Genomic DNA, 18,051 nt, shown 5'->3' with positions numbered 1-18,051 from the left:
GGAGCTTTGTGGCTGATGTTTCCCTTGAGGCAGTCCCTAGGCAGACCAAGAGAAGATATTGTTTATATCTCTCAGGAGACAAAAAAAAAACATCTAAGTCCTTGGGTAAGGTATAGAAGGAAAGTTCAGAACCAGGTGCTGTAGAAAGTTTTACTGTTTACTCTGGGCTCAGTAACCTAGGAAAATTCTGAATTCACAGAATTAATTAATTTGACCAACATCTTTTGAATAGCTTTGTGGGGTCACCAAAAAAGAAAACAGAAAAGATTCAAATACTGATCTCAAGAAGCTTATAACTAAGTAGGCTGTGTATAGCTGAGTAAGCATCCCAGTTGAGGAATGAAGACAGGAGGACTTATGGGAAAGCAGAGGAAAGACAGCTGCTTAGGCTGAGATGTTCAGAGAAGGCTGCATGGAGAAGGTGGCATTTCATCTGAGCTTGTGAATATAGATGGAATAACTAACATATTCTGTCCCAGCTCAAATATCATCCCCTCATTGAGTCACCTCCCCTGACTATGCTGTCTGTCTAAATTACCACCTCATCATTCCTGTCTTATTTTTCTTCTTAACAGTTATTACCTGACTTTATCTCTATTCTTGTTTGTTTGTTTGTTTTTATTTTTTTGAGACAGCCTCGTTCTGTCACCCAAGCTGGAGTGCAGTGGCGATCTTGGCTGTCTGCAACCTCCACCTCCCGGGTTCAAGCGATTCTCCGGCCTCAGCCTCCCAAGTAGCTGGGATTACAGGAGCCCGCTACCACACCCGGCTAATTTTTGTATTTTTAGTAGAGACAAGGTTTCACCATGGTGGCCAGGCTGGTCTCAAACTCCCGACCTCAGGTGATCTGCCCGCGTCGGCCTCCCAAAGTTCTGGTGGCATAAGCCACCATGTCCGGCTGTTTTTGTTTGTTTTTTGTTTTTGTTTTGAGACGGAGTCTTGCTCTGTTGCCCAGGCTGTGGAGTGCAGTGGCGCAATCTTGGCTCACTGCAAGCTCCGCCTCCCCGGTTCACCCTATTCTCCTGCCTCAGCCTCCCAAGTAGCTGGGACTACAGGCGCCCGCCACCACGCCTGGCTAATTTTTTTTTTTTTTTTTTTTTTTTGTATTTTTAGTAGAGATCGGGTTTCACCGTGTTAGCCAGGATGGTCTTGATCTCCTGACCTCGTGATCTGCCTGCCTTGGCCTCCCAAAGTGCTGGGATTACAGGCGTGAGCCACCGCGCCAGGCCGCCCGGCTGTTTTTTATTATTGGTAAACAATGCTAAAAGGTAAGTTCCATGAGGGCAGTTCCATCTCTTTTGTTCATCCCTATCCCTAGCACCCGGAACAGCATCTGGAACACAGTAGACACTCAATAAATCGAATAAATGAACAAATGGATAGATAGATGGATACACTTTTGTTTCATAGGGCATCACAGGAATTCGTTTTGCTGGAGGAGAGAAGTGCTACATTAAAGCGCAAGTGAAGGCTCGTATTCCTGAGGTGGGCGCCGTGACCAAACAGAGCATCTCCTCCAAACTGGTGGGTACCAACATGCCTGAGACAGTGAGACTGCTTGGCAAACATTGTTTGAAGGCACAACCCTTTTGGTTTTTATTTTTTGTTTTTATTTTTATTTTTATTGAGACAGAGTCTCACTCTGGAGTGCAGTGGCGCTTTTGGCTCACTGCATCCGATTCTCCTGTCTCAGCTTCCTGAGCAGCTGGGACTACAGGGACACCACCACATCCAACTAACTTGTTGTATTTTTAATAGATACAGGGTTTCACCATGTTGGCCAGGCTCTTCTTGAACTCCTGGCCTCAAGTGACCTGCCTGCCTCGGCCTCCTAAAGTGCCAGGATTATAGGAGTGAGCCACCGCGCCCAGCCTAAAGGCACAACACTTTTGGTTTCTAGTACCTGGATAGGTTCATGACTAGATGGTAAATTCGATTTCTTCTCTGCCAAAGGAATTCAAACTGTTTTTGTCCTACTGGGGTCAAGGGATTCTTCTCACATGATATAGTATATTTAAACGTTTTGGGAAGCCACATTTTAAAGTGCATAAAGGGGCTGGGTGCTCATATGGCCTTATTTGCCTGAGGTTAGGGAACTATCTGATCTGTGGTTAAGACTCCACAATAGAGGCAGGCATGGTGGCTCATGCTGGTAATCCCAGCACTTTGGGAGGCCGAGGTGGGCAGTTCATTTAAGCCCAGGAATTCCAGACAAGCCTGGACAACACGGCAAAACCCTGTCTCTACTAAAAATACAAAAAATTAGCTGGCCATGGTAGTGCGTACCTATAGTCCCAGCTACTCAGGAGGCAGAGGTGGGAGGATCACTTGAGCCCAGGAGATTGAGGCTGCAGGGAGCTGAGATTGCACCAGTGCACTCCAGGCTGGGCAACAGAATGAGACTCTATCTCAAAAAATAAAAAAACCCGAAAGAGACTCCACAATAAAGACAAAGGACTCCACAAGACAGGGTCTTCATTAAAGGGACCCACAATAGCGGATCACACAGCCTCTGCTGGAAAGCAGCCACAGGGCACTCATCCCCCACCCCAACACCAGCCAGCATCACTGAGGGTGGTTCTAATTGTTTTGCCCTACATTAAGCTGAGATAGCTCCTCCTACAACTTCTTCCCATTGGTTCAGGTTCAGCCCATTGAAGCTACACAACATATATCTAATTCCTTTTCTATGTGTCAAACCTGTGAGTTTTTAAAACATGTTTCTTTCATTTATTATTAATAACTTGCCTTTGAGCTTGATTTTTTTAAAATTTACTTTAGGAATTGCATACAGAATTCTAAAGACACATTTAACAGTAATACCTTACTTTTAATGGTAGTTTAGGGCTTACAAAATGGTCCCATTGATTACTGTCTTTTATTTGAGTTGTGGCAGGATAGAGTGGAGAGAAAATGGGCTTTGAAGTCAGAAAAACGTGGATTTACATCTCAGCTCTCATACTCCCTATGGATATTGTCATCTGTAAGCTGGGGGTATGCATACAGTGCCCATGGCCCTCAAATCTACTTGATGGTTGACAGATGGCTGCTGCTCATTGTTGTTAATTTTATTATGATCATCTTTGATCCTCCCAGTATTCCTGAGAGGGAGGGAAAGCAAGTATCAGCTCCCTCAAGGCAAAAGAGGAAAACTATATGGGTTAGCAAAGGCGCCTGGAAACTGCCTGATTGTTTGCCCCCATAGGAGCAGCTGCAGGCGGTGTCTCAAAACAGAACAACACAAAAGCTAAAAAACAAACCCGTGAGTTTGTAAAGCTGACTACCATTTCCTGTTTTCTCTTTTCTACTCTGTTTCCCATCCATCCTGTGAGATGTATTCCAGACCTTCCTTGCTCTGGTCATTCTCTCCTGATGGTGTTCCAGCTGGTTCCTTATGAGCTGTGCTGTTCAGAATCAAAGGTCGTCTTCTCGGTGCAAGTATGTTATACCAAGTATAAAAATGGGACCAAGACCTCCTTTGTTCTGACCCTTGAACTTCTCTTATTGCATTACCATTTTTTATAGTCATATCCCTCAGTTTCTGTCATGAAGACTTCAGTGAACTATAATCCTTGCCATTTTCCCTACAAATGGACCCAGAACTTGTTCTCCTCTCCTGCCTTCTACAAGGACCAATTCCCCAACAATGGCTGACCCAGATTTAATCATAAGTTTGCAGTATATTTTCTGAGTTTTTAAATACATTTTTCCCTGATTTTTAAAAACAATACTGTGTTACTGTAGGAAATTTGAGAGATACATAAAAGTATATATAGAGATGGCCGAATAGGAACAGCTCCAGTTTGCAGCTCCCAGTGAGATCAACACAGAAGGCAGGTGATTTCTGCATTTCCAACTGAGGTACCTGGCTTATCTCACTGGGAGTGGTTAGACAGTGGGTGCAGCCCACAGAGGGCAAGCCAAAGCAGGGTGGGGCATAGACTCACCCAGGAAGCTCAAGGGGTTGGGGAACTCCCCCTGCTAGCCAAGGGAAGTTGTGAGGGACCATGCCATGAGGAACAGTGCCTTCCAGCCCAGATACTATGCTTTTCCCATGGTCTTTGCAACCTGCAGGCCAGGAGATTCCCTTGGGTGCCTACACCACCAGGGCCCTGGGTTTCAACTGGGTGGCCATTTGGGAAGACACCGAGCTAGCTGCAGAAGTCTTTCTTCATACCCCAGTGGGGCCAGGAACACCAGCAAGACAGAACCATTCACTCCCCTGGAAAGGGGGCTGAAGCCAGGGAGCCAAGTGGTCTAGCTCAGCAGATCCCACCCCCATGGAGCCCAGCAAGCTAAGATCCACTGGCTTGAAATTCTCGCTGCCAGCACAGCAGTTTGAAGTCGACCTGGGACACTTGAGCTTGGTGGGGGGAGGGGCATCAGCCATCACTGAGGCTTGAGTAGGCAGTTTTCCTCTCACAGTGTAAACAAAGCCGCCAGGAAGTCCGAACTGGGTGGAGCCCAGCAGCTCCTCAAAGCCGCTGTAACCAGACTGCCTCTCTAGATTCCTCCTCTCCAGGCAGGGCATCTCTGAAAGAAAGGCAGCAGCCCCAGTCGGGCTTATAGATAAAACTCCCATCTCCCTAGGACAGAGCACCTGGGGGAAGGGGCGGCTGTGAGCACAGCTTCAGCAGACTTAAACGTCCCTGCCTGCCAGCTCTGAAGAGAGCAGTGGATCTCCCAGCACAGCACTCAAGCTTGGCTAAGGGACAGACTGCCTCCTCAAGTGAGTCCCTGACCCCCCTGTGCCTGACTGGGAGACACCTCCCAGCAGGGATTGACAGATACCTCATACAGGAGAGCTCCGGCTGGCATCTGATGGGTGCCCCTCTGGGACAAAGCTTCCAGAGGAAGGAACAGACAGCAATTTTTGCTGTTCTGCAGCCTCTGATGGTGATACCCAGGCATACAGGGTCTGGAGTGGACCTCAGCAAACTCCAGCAGACCTGCAGCAGAGGGGCTTGACTGTTAGAAGGAAAACTAACAAACAGAAAGGAATAGCATCAACATCAACAAAAAGGACATCCATACAGAACCCCATCCAAAGGTCACCAACATCAAGGAAAAACCAGTGCAAAAAGGCTGAAAATTCCAAAAACCAGAACGCCTCTTCTCCTCCAAAGGATCACAACTCCTCGCCAACAAGGGAACAAATCTGGATGGAGAATGAGTTTGACAAATTGACAGAAGTAGGCTTCAGAAGATGGGTAATAACAAACTCCTCTGAGCTAAAGGAGCATGTTCTAACCCAATGCAAGGAAGCCAAGAACCTTGAAAAAAAGGTTAGAGGAATTGCTAACTAGAATAACCATTTTAAAGAAGAACTTAAATGACCTGATGGAGCTGAAAAACACAGCACGAGAACTTCGTGAACCATACACAAGTATCAGTAGCCAAATCCATTAAGTGGAAGGAAGAAAGGATATCCAAGATTGAAGATCAACTTAATGAAATACAGCATGAAGACGAGATTAGAGAAAAAAGAATGAACAGGAATGAACAAAGCCTCCAAGAAATATGGGACTATGTGAAAAAACCAAACCTACATTTGACTGGTGTACCTGAAAGTGACAGGGAGAATGGAACCAAGTTGGGAAACACTCTTCAGGATATTATCCAGGAGAACTTCCCCAACCTAGCAAGACAGGCTAACATTCAAATTCAGGAAATACAGAGAACACCACAAAGATACTCCTCAAGAAGAGCAACCCCAAGACACATAATCGTCAGATTCACCAAGATTGAAATGAAGGAAAAAATGTTAAAAGCAGCCAGAGAGAAAGTTCGGGTTACCCACAAAGGGAAGCCCATCAGACTAACAGCAGATCTCTTGGCAGAATCCCTACAAGCCAAAAGAGAGTGGGGGCCAATATTCAACCTCTTCAAGAAAAGAATATTCAACCCAGAATTTCATATCCAGCCAAACTAAGCCTCATAAGTGAAGGAGAAATAAAATCCTTTACAGACAAGCAAATGCTGAGAGATTGTGTCACCACCAGCCCTGCCTTACAAGAGCTCCTGAAGGAAGCACTAAATATGGAAAAGAAAAACCGGTACCAGCCACTGCAAAAACATACCAAATTGTAAAGACCATCAACACTATGAAGAAACTGCATCAACTAACGGGCAAAATAACCAGCTAGCATCAGAATGATAGGATCAAATTCACACATAACAATATTAACCTTAAATGTAAATGGGCTAAATCCCGCAATTAAAAGACACAGACAGGCAAACTGAATAAAGAGTCCAGACCCATCGGTGTGCTGTATTCAGGAGACCCATCTCACGTGCAAAGACACACATAGGTTCAAAATAAAGGGATGGAGGAATATTTACCAAGCAAATGGAAAGCAAAAAAAGCAGGGGTTGCAATCCTAGTCTCTGATAAAACAGACTTTAAACCAACAAAGATCAAAAAAGACAAATAAGGGCATTACATAATGGTAAAAGGATCAATGCAACCAGAAGAACTAACTATCCTAAATATATATGCACCCAATATAGGAGCACCCAGATTCATAAAGCAAGTTTCTCAGAGACCTACAAAGAGACTTAGACTCCCACATAATAATAGTGGGAGACTTTAACACCCCGCTTTCAATATTAGACAGATCAATGAGACAGAAAATTAACAAGGATATTCAGGACTTGAACTCAGCTCTGGACCAAGCAGACCTAATAGACATGTACAGAACTCTCCACTCCAAATCAACAGAATATACATTCTTCTCAGCACCACATCACAATTATTCTAAAATTGGAAGAAAAACACTCCTCAGCAAATGCAAAAGAATGGAAATCATAACAGTCTCTCAGACCACAGTACAATCAAATTAGAACTCAGGATTAAGAAACTCACTCAAAACTGCAAAACTACATGGAAACTGAACAACCTGCTCCTGAATGACTACTGGGTAAATAACAAAATGAAGGCAGAAATAAAGATGTTCTTTGAAATCAATGAGAACAAAAACACAATGTACCAGAATCTCTGGTACACAGCTAAAGCAGTGTTTAGAGGGAAATTTATAGCACTAAAATGCCCACAGGAGAAAGCAAGAAAGATCTAAAACTGACACCCTAACATCACAATTAAAACAACTAGAGAAGCAAGAGCAAACAAATTCAAAAGCTAGCAGAAGACAAGAAATAACTAAGATCAGAGCAGAACTGAAGGAGATAGAGACATGAAAAACCCTTCCAAAAATCATTGAATCCAGGAGCTGGTTTTTTGAAGAGATTAACAAATAGATAGACTACTAGCCAGACTAATAAAGAAGAAAAGAGAAAAGAATCAAATGACACAATAAAAAATGATAAGGGGGATATCACCACTGATCCCACAGAAATACAAACTACCGTCAGATAATGCTATAAACACCTCTACACAAATAAACTAGAAAATTCAGAAGAAATGGGTAAATTCCTGGACACATACACCCTCCCAAGACTAAACCAGGAAGAAGTCAAATCCCTGAATAGACCAATAAGAAGGTCTGAAATTGAGGCAGTAATTAATAGCCTACCGACCAAAAAAAGCCCAGGACCAGACGGATTCACAGCCAAATTCTACCAGAGGTACAAAGAGGAGCTGGTACCATTCTTTCTGTAACTATTCCAAACAATACAAAAAGAGGGACTCCTCTCTAACTCATTTTATGAGACCAGCATCATCCTGATACTAAAACCTGGCAGAGACACAACAAAAAAAGAAAATTTCAGGCCAATATCCCTGATGAACATCGATGCAAAAATCCTCAATAAAATACTGGCAAACTGAATGCAGCAGCATATCAAAAAGCTTATCCACAACGATCAAGTCAGCTTCATCCCTGGGATACAAGGCTGGTACAACATACACAAATCAATCAACATAATCCATTACCTAAACAGAACCAATGACAAAAACACATGATTATCTCAATAGAGGCAGAAAAGGCCTTCAATAAAATTTAACACCGCTTCATGCTAAAAACTTTCAATAAACTAGGTATTGATGGAACATATCTCAAAATAATAAGAGCTATCTATGACAAACCCACAGCCAATATCATAGTGAATGGGCAAAAACTGGAAGCATTTCCTTTGAAAACCAGCACAAGACAAGGATGCCCTCTCTTGCCACTCCTATTCAACATAGTGTTGGAAGTTCTGGCCAGGGCAATCAGGCAAGAGAAGGAAATAAAGTGTATTCTAATAGGAGGGGAGGAAGTCAAATTGTCTCATTTTGCAGATTACATGATTGTACATTTAGAAAACTCCATTGCCTCAGCACAAAATCTCTTTAAGCTGATAAGCAACTGCACCAAAGTCTCAGGATACAAAATCCATGTGCAAAAATCACAAGCATTCCTATACACCAATAATAGACAGAGAGCCAAATCATGAGGGAACTCTCATTCACAGTTGCTAAAAGAGAATAAAATACTAGGAATACAACTTACAAGGGATGTGAAGGACCTCTTCAAGGAGAACTACAAACCACTGCTCAATGAAAAAAGAGAGGACACAAACGCATGGAAAAACATTCCATGCTCATGGATGTGAAGAATCAATGTCGTGAAAATGGCCATATTGCCCAAAGTAATTTATAGATTCAATGCTATCCCCATCAAGCTACCACTGACTTTCTTCACAGAATTAGAAAAAACTACTTTAAATTTCACGTGGAACCAAAAAAGAGCCCGTATAACCAAGACAATCCTATGCAAAAAGAACAAAGCTGGAGGCATCATGCTACCTGACTTCAAACTATACTACAAGGCTATAGTAACCAAAACAGCATGGTACTGGTACCAAAACAGGTATATGGATCAATGGAACAGAACAGAGCCCTCAGAAATAATGCCACACATCTACAACAATCAGATCTTTGACAAACCTGACAAAAACAAGCGATGGGGAAAGGATTCCCTATTTAATAAATGGTCTTGGGAAAACTGGCTAGCCATACGTAGAAAACTGAAACCGGACCCCTTCCTTACACCTTATACAAAATTAACTCAAGCTGGATTAAAGGCTTAAATGTAAGACCTAAAATCATAAAAACCCTAGAAGAAAACCTAGGCAATACCATTCAGGACATAGGCATGGGCAAAGACTTCATGACTAAAATACCAAAAGCAATGGCAATAAAAGCCAAAATTGACAAATGAGATCTAATTAAATTAAAGAGCTTCTGCACAGCAAAAGAAACTATCATCAGCGTGAAGAGGCAATCTACAGAATGGGAGAACAAATTTTTGCAATCTATCCATCTGACAAAGGGCTAATATCCAGAATCTACAAGGAACTTAAACAAATTCACAAGAAAGAAACAACCCCATCAAAAAGTGGGTGAAGGATATGAACAGACACTTCTCAAAAGAAGACATTTATGTGGCCAACAAACATGAAAAAAAGTTGATCATCACTGGTCATTACAGAAATGCAAATCAAAACCACAATGAGATACCATCTCATACCGGTTAGAATGGCGATCATCAAAAAGTCAGGAAACAACATATGCTGGAGAAGATGTGGAGGAATAGGAATGCTTTTACACTGTTGATGGGACTATAAATCAGTTTAACCATTGTGGAATACAGTGTGGTGATTCCTCAAGGATCTAGAACCAGAAATATCATTTGACCCAGCAATCCCATCACTGGGTATATACCTAAAGGATTATAAATCATTCTACTATAAAGACACATGCATATGTATGCTTATTGCAGCACTATTCACAATAGCAAAGACTTGGAACCAACCCAAATGCCCATCAATGATAGACTGGATAAAGAAAATGTGGCACATGTACACCATAGAATACTATGCAGCCATAAAAATGATGAGTTCATGTCCTTTGCAGGGACACGGATGAAGCTGGAAACCATCATTCTCAGCAAAGTAACACAGGAACAGAAAACCAGACACTGCATGTTCTCACTCACAAGTAGGAGCTGAACAATGAGAACACATGGACACAGGGAGGGGAACATCACACACCGGGGCCTGTCAGGGAGTGGGAGTGCTAGGGGAAGAATAGCATTAAGAGAAATATCTAATGTAGATGACGAGTTGATGCATGCAGCAAACCACCATGGCATGTGTATACCTATGTAACAAACCTGCACATTCTGCACATGTATCCCAGAATTTAAAGTATAATTTAAAAAAATTAAAACAGTTGAACTCATGGAGATAGAGAATAGAAGGATGATTACCAGAGGCTGGAACGGTTTGGGGGAAGGGAGGATGGTAATGGGTACAAAAATTAGTTATAAAGAATAAAAAATAGAAAAACTAAATAAGACCTAGTATTTGCTAGCACAGCAGGGAGACTGTAGTAAAAAACAATTATACATTTTTAAAAAAACTAACAGTATAACTGGATTGTTTGAAACAAAGAATAAATGCTTGCAGTAATTACCCTGATGTGGTAATTATGCATTGCATGCTGGTATCAAAATATCTTAGGTAACCCATAAGTATATACCTACTATAGATCCACAAAAATTAAAAATAAAAAAAGAAAATAGGTGTAAGAATCTTGACTAAAATATTAGTAAAAGGAGTATAGCCATATGTTGAATAAGTAACATGTCATGACAAGGTAAGGTTTATTTCAGGGATGTACAAATGGTTCAATACTGGGACATCTTAGGGAAAAAAAGTATAGATAATAAAATTACCTACAATTGCATAATCCACAAAAAGCTAATGCTAATGTTTTGGTGAATTTTCTCCGTGTGTGTGTGTGTGTGATAGTCTTTCTATAAGGGAAATTATCCTGTTGTACATGCTTATTATTGTCATAACTTTAGTTCTTCTAAAATGTAGATTATAATGGACATATGCTTTATCATATGATTATAATTTTAAAAGTCTTTTATTCTTAAACACTTCAGGTATCTTCAATTTTTCATTATTTCAAATAATAATTAAAAATAACTATTTTTAAATACCATTATTTACCATGGTAAATAAATTCGCCGTGATGGTGAATGCTTTTATATTTAAATCTTTGTCTGCATCTGATTCTTAGGCCATAGAGGTAGATTATTTGTCCTGTGTTTTAGTTGTTTATGTCATGCATGATGGATCCTCTAGTGGACAAAAACAAATTCAGACAATACATTTGTGTGAATTAGGAATATGTTTGGCTGTCAGTAACAGAAAACTACCCTTAGAGTAACTTACACAAATCGGGATCTGTTTTTCTCCACAGTAAGCAATGTGGAGGCAGGTGGCTGCAGGCATTGGCTCGGTGGCCAGCATTTCTGTGATTTTTTAAAATCTTGCCTTTCAGCTCCAATCATGGTTGCCACTGCTCAACCTCTTCCTGACTTCCTTAGTTGGCATTCAAGTAAAAATGTCAGGAAGAAAGACATTGAGCAATGCCAACCACGACTTCCCTTTAATCAGGAAAAGCAGAAGGCCTCCCAAGCCCTCAGCATACTTTGGCCTGGATCTCACTGGCTACCACTGGGTCACCCGGGCACCCTGGACTGCAGGAGAACTAGAGAAAGCAAGTGTCTCTCCTGGGGCTGGGCTCATTGCTGCTTCCAATAAAAGAAGGACTATGTTACAAGGCAGGTGGGGGAGGAAGGAGATTGGGTAGGCAACCAAAAGTACATGCCTCAAGATTTATTTAACATTCTTAGCATGGAGGATGCATCTATATGCATTATCCCAATCACCCCACTCTTCCCCACACACTTTAGACTAAGATGGGGTAGATTTATGTACCACTTGCTTTCATAAATTTTTCATCAGTTTTGTATAACTTTAAAAAGCTACAGTACTCAAAGAGCATTCATTTCCTGGATGGAGCCATTTAATTTAAGGTAAATAACTGGATTACCTGACTGTTAGCTTCCTCCAATAACTTTAAGTTGTTTTAATGCAGCCATAAGCCTGAGGGAGAAAGCATAAATGAAGTACTGCTTTTAGCTAAAAATTAGGAGAAAACATTTTAATTTCTCCAAGCTATTGCAGACTAATAAGTACACGAAAGGAACAACCTGGCAGGATAAATTTGTCTCCTGGGTTATCAAACCATTCTCAGCATCTCACTGTGGAAGAAAATCCAGGGTTTAACTTTGAAATCTCAGTGGTGTGCTTGATGTGAGGAACATCTGAAATATGTGTTGTTATAGCTGGGAAGTGGAGAAATGGTTTATGTTAAATAATACTTTGAACTGAAGACATTAAAGAACCAATCACTTGCTTTTTCCATTGTTGTTCAGAAGCTGCAGAACAAAACCCCACAAGATTTTCACTTCAAATGAAGGGTTCCTCTATCCTTTGTAGGATTCCAGGGTTCGTTCAATTGCTTTTCCTCAAAAACATCTTTGATCAAAAACATCAGATTAACCTAAATCTCAAAGTTGGTATCAAGTAATTTTCACTTCAACTCAGGGCACTTATATTCACATGGTACAGCTATCCAGAGGCAGGGCAACAGGAGGAGGCGTGCTGAATATTGTGAAAAGAGCTACAAAGAGAAGAGATTAGAACCTTAAAGTGCACACATGTACACACGCATGCTCGGAATTCTCATTAATTTTTTATAAGGCAAAATAACCTTTTAGCAACACATGACTCTTAATACAATTTGTTTCACTGTCCTCTTTGCTCAAATGCAATCGTTTTTACTTTCAGGAAGGCAAGATCATGCCAGTCAAATATGAAGAAAATTCTCTTATCTGGGTGGCTGTAGATCAGCCTGTGAAGGACAACAGCTTCTTGAGTTCTAAGGTGTTAGAACTCTGCGGTGACCTTCCTATTTTCTGGCTTAAACCAACCTATCCAAAAGGTAACATTTTAAATTATCTTAAGCTGTTTACAACTTTCCCTGTTCATGCATGTGAGGTTCCTCCAACCCCCTCCACAGGCCTGAGCATGTTAACAAGGAGGATAAATCAGGATGCATGTCGCAGTGTCTCAGTAATTAGCATGAGAGATGAAAGAGCAGGAAAATGACAGCCCGTGACTATTGAAGGGAAGGGAAGGAGCAGTAGGGTTAACAGGAGGCAGATCAGGAAGACAATGCCATGGCATTACCTGCAGCTTTGGTTTATGACACTCCCACTTCTTTCCACTCTGCCCCTTTATCTCAGTTGTTTGCACCTTCCAATTTTACATTTTTTTTATTTCTAAGGCATAGAATCAAGGGACTAAGAAACTGTCATACCGCCGAGTCTTTATTGTGTTCAAACCTAGAATTATGGGACAGCCAAAAGCTGCTATGGGTATTGGCTGAGATTCCTCTCAAGTTCAGAGCTTGAATATTAGCTTCCAAGTCCAGTGAAAGTAAGTGCAGACTCCCTGGGGTTCACAGCTAGGCTGGAGCATATCTTTGAGCTATTTCTGGGTAATGAAGGGCAGGTGAGCCTGGTGGGCCTCACTCTCCCTCCTGAGTTTCTCCTGTCCCCTGAGTTGTCTCACTATTTCTACTGCAGTCACCACACTGGCCTCCCAAAGGCCTATTTTGTAGCTCTGGTTCAAATGTGGGGAAAAAAAAGGCCTTTCTCCTAGCACAGCTGAGATAGGCTGTTTTCTGAAAGATTTTATGGAAGACTAGCAGACAGCAGCATGGAAATAAAGAAAATATAGGCCTTTAAAACCACTAGGCTTGGTGGGCACACAGGGAAAAAACTGGGCAGTTAGTGTTTAATAGGTACAGTTTCATTTTTTGCAAGATGAAACATGTTCTAGATGGTGGTGATGATTGCACAGCAATGTGAATGTACTTCATGCCACTGAACTGTACACTTAAAAATGGTTAACATGGTAAATTTCGTTATGTATATTTTACAATTTTTAAAAATACCCACCAGGCTTAGGAAGTACAGGTTTCTGATCTGCCACGACTAACTTATTCTTATGGTTCACAAGTCTCATTCTGTCCCAAAGCTGGAGAAGATGGCTCCTCTCCAGCCTGGGTGAGGCAAATAGGATTCAGCGACAAGCCACTGGCAGTAGCTGCCCAGCACAGTGGGCTGAGAAACAGCTGGAGACCACATGCAGGCTCAGTAAGAAAGAATTCCAAACTCAGTCAGCAGGGGCTGGCTGGCTGAAGGGGGCAGGAGAGGGGCTGCCAAATGGGCTGTGCTGTTGCCATTCCTGCTCTTGCTCCTATGGGTGGTCACAACTCACAGTTCTATGATGGCTTGCCAAGTTCTGGCTTTCTGTTCCACACCTGCCACCACCTGGGTGGGCCTTCTTACTTTCTGTCGCCCAGGAACTCCCATCTTTTCCAGCTGAGGACAAGAGTCTGCAGTGTGCTACCAGTTAGAGCTCTCCCTAATCTCATTGAGGACAAGCCTCTTACCCAGAGAGTTCATTCACTCATTTGACAGACGTTCATGAGGGCCTAGTACGTGCCATAAACTTGTTGTAGGTATTTGAGGTGCATCCGTGAATAGAACAGACAAGAACCCGTGCCCTCAGGGAGTTTTGCATTGCAGCAAGGGGAGACAGTAAATAAACACTAAATTAAAATAAGAAAATTGTATAATATGATACAAGGTGCTATGGAAAATGCCAGTGCAGGGCCATGGGGTGGGCACTAGAGATCGGAACACAGCATTATTGGCAATGCTAAGACAACTGATAGGATGAGTAATTTCTCACTTGGGGAAAGAGCTTCTTCCCTACATATCCAAGATGTGGCTTGTTCCCTCCCAGCCCAATAGCGTGACCACATTTTAAGTATTCAATCACCACAACATCCATACAAGAATTACACATATTATGTACACAAGAAAAGTGGAAAACACCTCAATGCCCCCAGATTAGAAAAGGTAAATGTTGATTATATCCATAAAATGGAATATCATAGATATGAAAAATGGATTCCCCCATCTCTCATAAGTACAGTTATATTTTACAATACAATCAAGAAACTCTGATGATGCCAGGCTTCCTACCACCTAATTCTAATAAAAGCACCACACTCCAGGGTCCAGCGGCCCATGCCCTTGGATCTTGAAGCCAGCAGGTCATCAGTGTCACACAGCTGTATTATCAGAGACACGGGGAATGACAGCTGGACACAGGTCAGAGGGGAACGGGGAGAGCTGACACCTGCTGAGCTCTGTGTGTCAGGCATGGTAGTAGAGAATTACGCTTTGTCCTCATTTAATCTTTGCCAACAACTGTTGGGGTAACTACTCGTTCCCGTTTTATAGATGAAGAAACTAAGGTTCACAGAGATAAGTAATTTGCCTAAGGTCATTTAGTTAGTTAAAAGAAGCAGAACTGTGATCAAATCCAGGTCTCACTGGTGCCTCTCCAACCATGCTATCTGTGGAAGCTACCAATGGCTTTAAAGCACATCTTAGTTCTCCTAAATAACAAAGCATGATATAATCCTCATCACCTAATAGTTCAGTGCTTATTATATGCAACACACTGCTTAAACCTTTAGACAGATTCTCATTAACCCTATCACTACCCTATGAATTAGATATTACTATTATCCCCATTTTACAGATAACGAAACGGGCTCAGAGAGACACCAAAATCCAAGCTGTGTGGTACTTTCTACTTTTTTTTGAGATGGAGTTTCACTCGTCACCCAGGCTTGAGTGCAATGATGCAATCTCGGCTCACTGCAGCCTCTGCCTCCCAGGTTCAAGCGATTCTCCTGTCTCAGCCTCCCAAGTAGCTGGGATTACAGGTGCCTGCCACCACGCCCGGCTAATTATTGTATTTTTAGTAGAGATGGAGTTTCACCATGTTGACCAGGCTGGTCTCGAACTCCTGACCTCAAGTGATCCGCCTGCCTCAGCCTCCCAAACTGCTGGGATTACAGGCATGAGCTACTGCTCCTGGCCTGTATTTTGGTTAATTGGCAGCCATCAGCCCTGCTGCAGGGCCCATGAGGCTATGTGGTAAACTAGAGCCAGGGAGTTCGCACTGGGCACCTACCTATGCCACCCATTCTGTGATCTTGGCCAAGTCACTTGGCCTTTCTGAGGCTTGATGCCCTCATATATAAAAGCATTTGCTTTTTCTATCCCATAGGATTTTTAAAAAGAATAAACCAAGATATTTCCCTTGCAAACTGTAAAGCTTTATACTGATATAGTCAATCCATTAGAAATACTTAGGGCTACAATTAACAGAATATTTGATCAACAGTGGTTTCAACAAACACAGGTTTATTTTTTTCATATAGCCAGAAGTCTAGAGAGAGGAGGTTTTTGACACTATCAGCTACTCAATGATACCATCAAGTCTCTTTCCAGTTACCATTTTACTACCTGTAGCATGCTGGCTTATGGTGCCTATCACTTCATAGTCACAAGTTGACTCTCATAACTCCAGATATCACATCTGTGTTCAAGAAAGGAAAAACAAGACAGGGAAGCCTATCTGTCCCCTTTTACCGAGAAAGCAAAAGCTTTCCCAGAAACTGCACTAGCGTATTCTGCTGATGTCTCCCTGGTCAGATATGTCTCACCTGGCCACTTCTAATTGCAAAGGAAGCTGGGGAAATGAATGGTGTTTTATTTTCTCAGCCCCAGTAGTGAAGGCAGACCAAAAGAAAGGGGGGAGGTGGTCTTGAGGTTTGTCAGGCCATCTTACAATGTCATCTTCAATTAGTATTACAAAACCAAATTCAGATTATCTGTATGTTTAACTATTAGCCCAAGACTCTAAAACATGTTTTATTACTACAAACATCAGTACAAAAATTTTAAGCCATCTGGTTATGCACAAATTTTGATATCCTTTTCTTATGTTTTTCACCCTGATAAACACAGATCTAATTTCCTTAATTATTCAAATAAAGGGATTAATTTACAGAAATTTTTGCAGAAATCCAGAGGGAAAGAAGAGAAGTGGTAAGAAAAATTGTTCCAACTACCACAAAAAGACCACACAGTGGACCACGGAGCAACCCAGGCGCTGGAAGACTGAATAATGAAACCAGACCCAGTGTTCAAGAGGACTCACAAGCCTTCAATCCTGATAATCCTTATCATGTGCGTTCCGGTGCTTTTTGACATGATTAGACAAATGCATTAAACATAGTGCCAAGGCCGGGCGTGGTGGCTTACGCCTGTAATCCTAGCACTTTGGGAGGCAGGGGTGGGCAGATCACGAGGTCAGGAGTTCGAGGCCAGCCTGGCCAACATGGTGAAACCCTGTCTCTACTAAAGATACAAAAAATTAGCCAGGCATGGTGGCACACGCCTGTAATCCCAGCTACTCCGGAGGCTGAGGCAGGAGAATCGCTTGAACACAGGAGATGGAGGTTGCAGTGAGCCGAGATTGGGCCACTGCACTTCAGCCTGGGTGACAGGGCGAGACTCCGTCTCAAAAAAAAAAAATAGTGTTGAAATGGTGTTTGTACTTGAGGTTTCAAACGCGCATATAAGTATTCAACTTAGACTTTTATTCAATTATTTTAAAAATACATTTTCATTTGTTGCAAAGTTGTTTTTTTGTTGTTGTTTCACTGCCTGGGAATCGCCTCCCAGGTTCAAGCAATTCTCCTGCCTCAGCCTCCCAAGTAGCTGGGATTTCAGGTGCCCACCACCATGCCCAGCTAATTTTTTGTATTTTTTTTTTTAGTAGAGACAGGGTTTCACCATGTTGGGCAGGCTGTTCTCGAACTCCTGGCCTCAGGTGATCCACCTGCCTTGGCCTCCCAAGATGTTGTTGGGATCACAGGTGTGAGCCACCGCGCCCAACCTTTTGCAAGGTTTATAATTAAGGGTAAGAACACTTAAGCATTACCTCTGTAGTGTAAAATCCTGATTGGCTGGTAACCCTTATTATTCAGTTGTTTTCTGTGCTCTCCTTTTTTTGAGTCACAGGCAAATTCATGAAAACAAATTCATATCAGGAATTTGATTATTTGAAAATGTTTCCTAGAGTGCTCCCTGGAGGCAACATATGGAATGGAAGTATTCTCTTTCCCCCTTTATATCCACTTTATTCAACAGGCAGTCATTTAGGCACCTGCTCTTTCCCAGGCTCTGTGCACAGGCAGGAGACTGTGCCCTCAGGGGCTCAGTCCAGTTAGAGGATAGAGCCACACTTAGA

General features: G+C 42.2%; 1 protein-coding gene across 7 annotated transcripts in view, besides 4 other annotated features; it reads left to right on the top strand.

Moving 5' to 3' along the window:
* CNMD (chondromodulin) overlaps positions 1 to 18,051 on the top strand; it is a 36,557-nt gene that overhangs the window by 14,300 nt on the left and 4,206 nt on the right. For 2 of the 7 annotated variants that reach the window (NM_001011705.2, NM_007015.3), the window contains exons 4-6: positions 1,411 to 1,524; positions 12,652 to 12,805; positions 16,819 to 16,985. In NM_001011705.2, coding sequence (NP_001011705.1) covers positions 1,411 to 1,524; positions 12,652 to 12,805; positions 16,819 to 16,985 — 435 coding nt within the window. Of the gene's footprint in view, positions 1 to 1,410; positions 1,525 to 12,651; positions 12,806 to 16,806; positions 16,986 to 18,051 lie in introns of all 7 variants that reach the window. The other 5 variants (XM_011534898.3, XM_011534897.3, XM_047430070.1 and 2 more) reach the window with 3 other exon arrangements.
* Positions 3,101 to 3,309: a silencer, noted in NCBI's record as "fragment chr13:53296347-53296555 (GRCh37/hg19 assembly coordinates)". NCBI's record gives its function as "represses an EF-1alpha promoter that drives an FKBP-Casp9 reporter gene in an ReSE screen in K562 erythroleukemia cells {active_cell/tissue: K562}" and the evidence as "EXISTENCE:reporter gene assay evidence [ECO:0000049][PMID:32094911]".
* Positions 3,615 to 4,395: an enhancer, noted in NCBI's record as "NANOG-H3K27ac-H3K4me1 hESC enhancer chr13:53295261-53296041 (GRCh37/hg19 assembly coordinates)". NCBI's record gives its function as "activates a minimal SCP1, AML or CMV promoter by ChIP-STARR-seq in naive H9 embryonic stem cells {active_cell/tissue: H9 hESC(naive)}" and the evidence as "EXISTENCE:reporter gene assay evidence [ECO:0000049][PMID:30033119]".
* Positions 4,396 to 5,177: an enhancer, noted in NCBI's record as "NANOG-H3K27ac-H3K4me1 hESC enhancer chr13:53294479-53295260 (GRCh37/hg19 assembly coordinates)". NCBI's record gives its function as "activates a minimal SCP1, AML or CMV promoter by ChIP-STARR-seq in naive H9 embryonic stem cells {active_cell/tissue: H9 hESC(naive)}" and the evidence as "EXISTENCE:reporter gene assay evidence [ECO:0000049][PMID:30033119]".
* Positions 12,755 to 13,305: an enhancer, noted in NCBI's record as "NANOG hESC enhancer chr13:53286351-53286901 (GRCh37/hg19 assembly coordinates)". NCBI's record gives its function as "activates a minimal SCP1, AML or CMV promoter by ChIP-STARR-seq in naive H9 embryonic stem cells {active_cell/tissue: H9 hESC(naive)}" and the evidence as "EXISTENCE:reporter gene assay evidence [ECO:0000049][PMID:30033119]".

The sequence above is a fragment of the Homo sapiens genome, chromosome 13, assembly GCF_000001405.40.
Source record: "Homo sapiens chromosome 13, GRCh38.p14 Primary Assembly".
Taxonomy (NCBI): Eukaryota; Metazoa; Chordata; class Mammalia; order Primates; family Hominidae; genus Homo; species Homo sapiens.
This window is presented reverse-complemented; position numbering and strand designations above follow the sequence as displayed.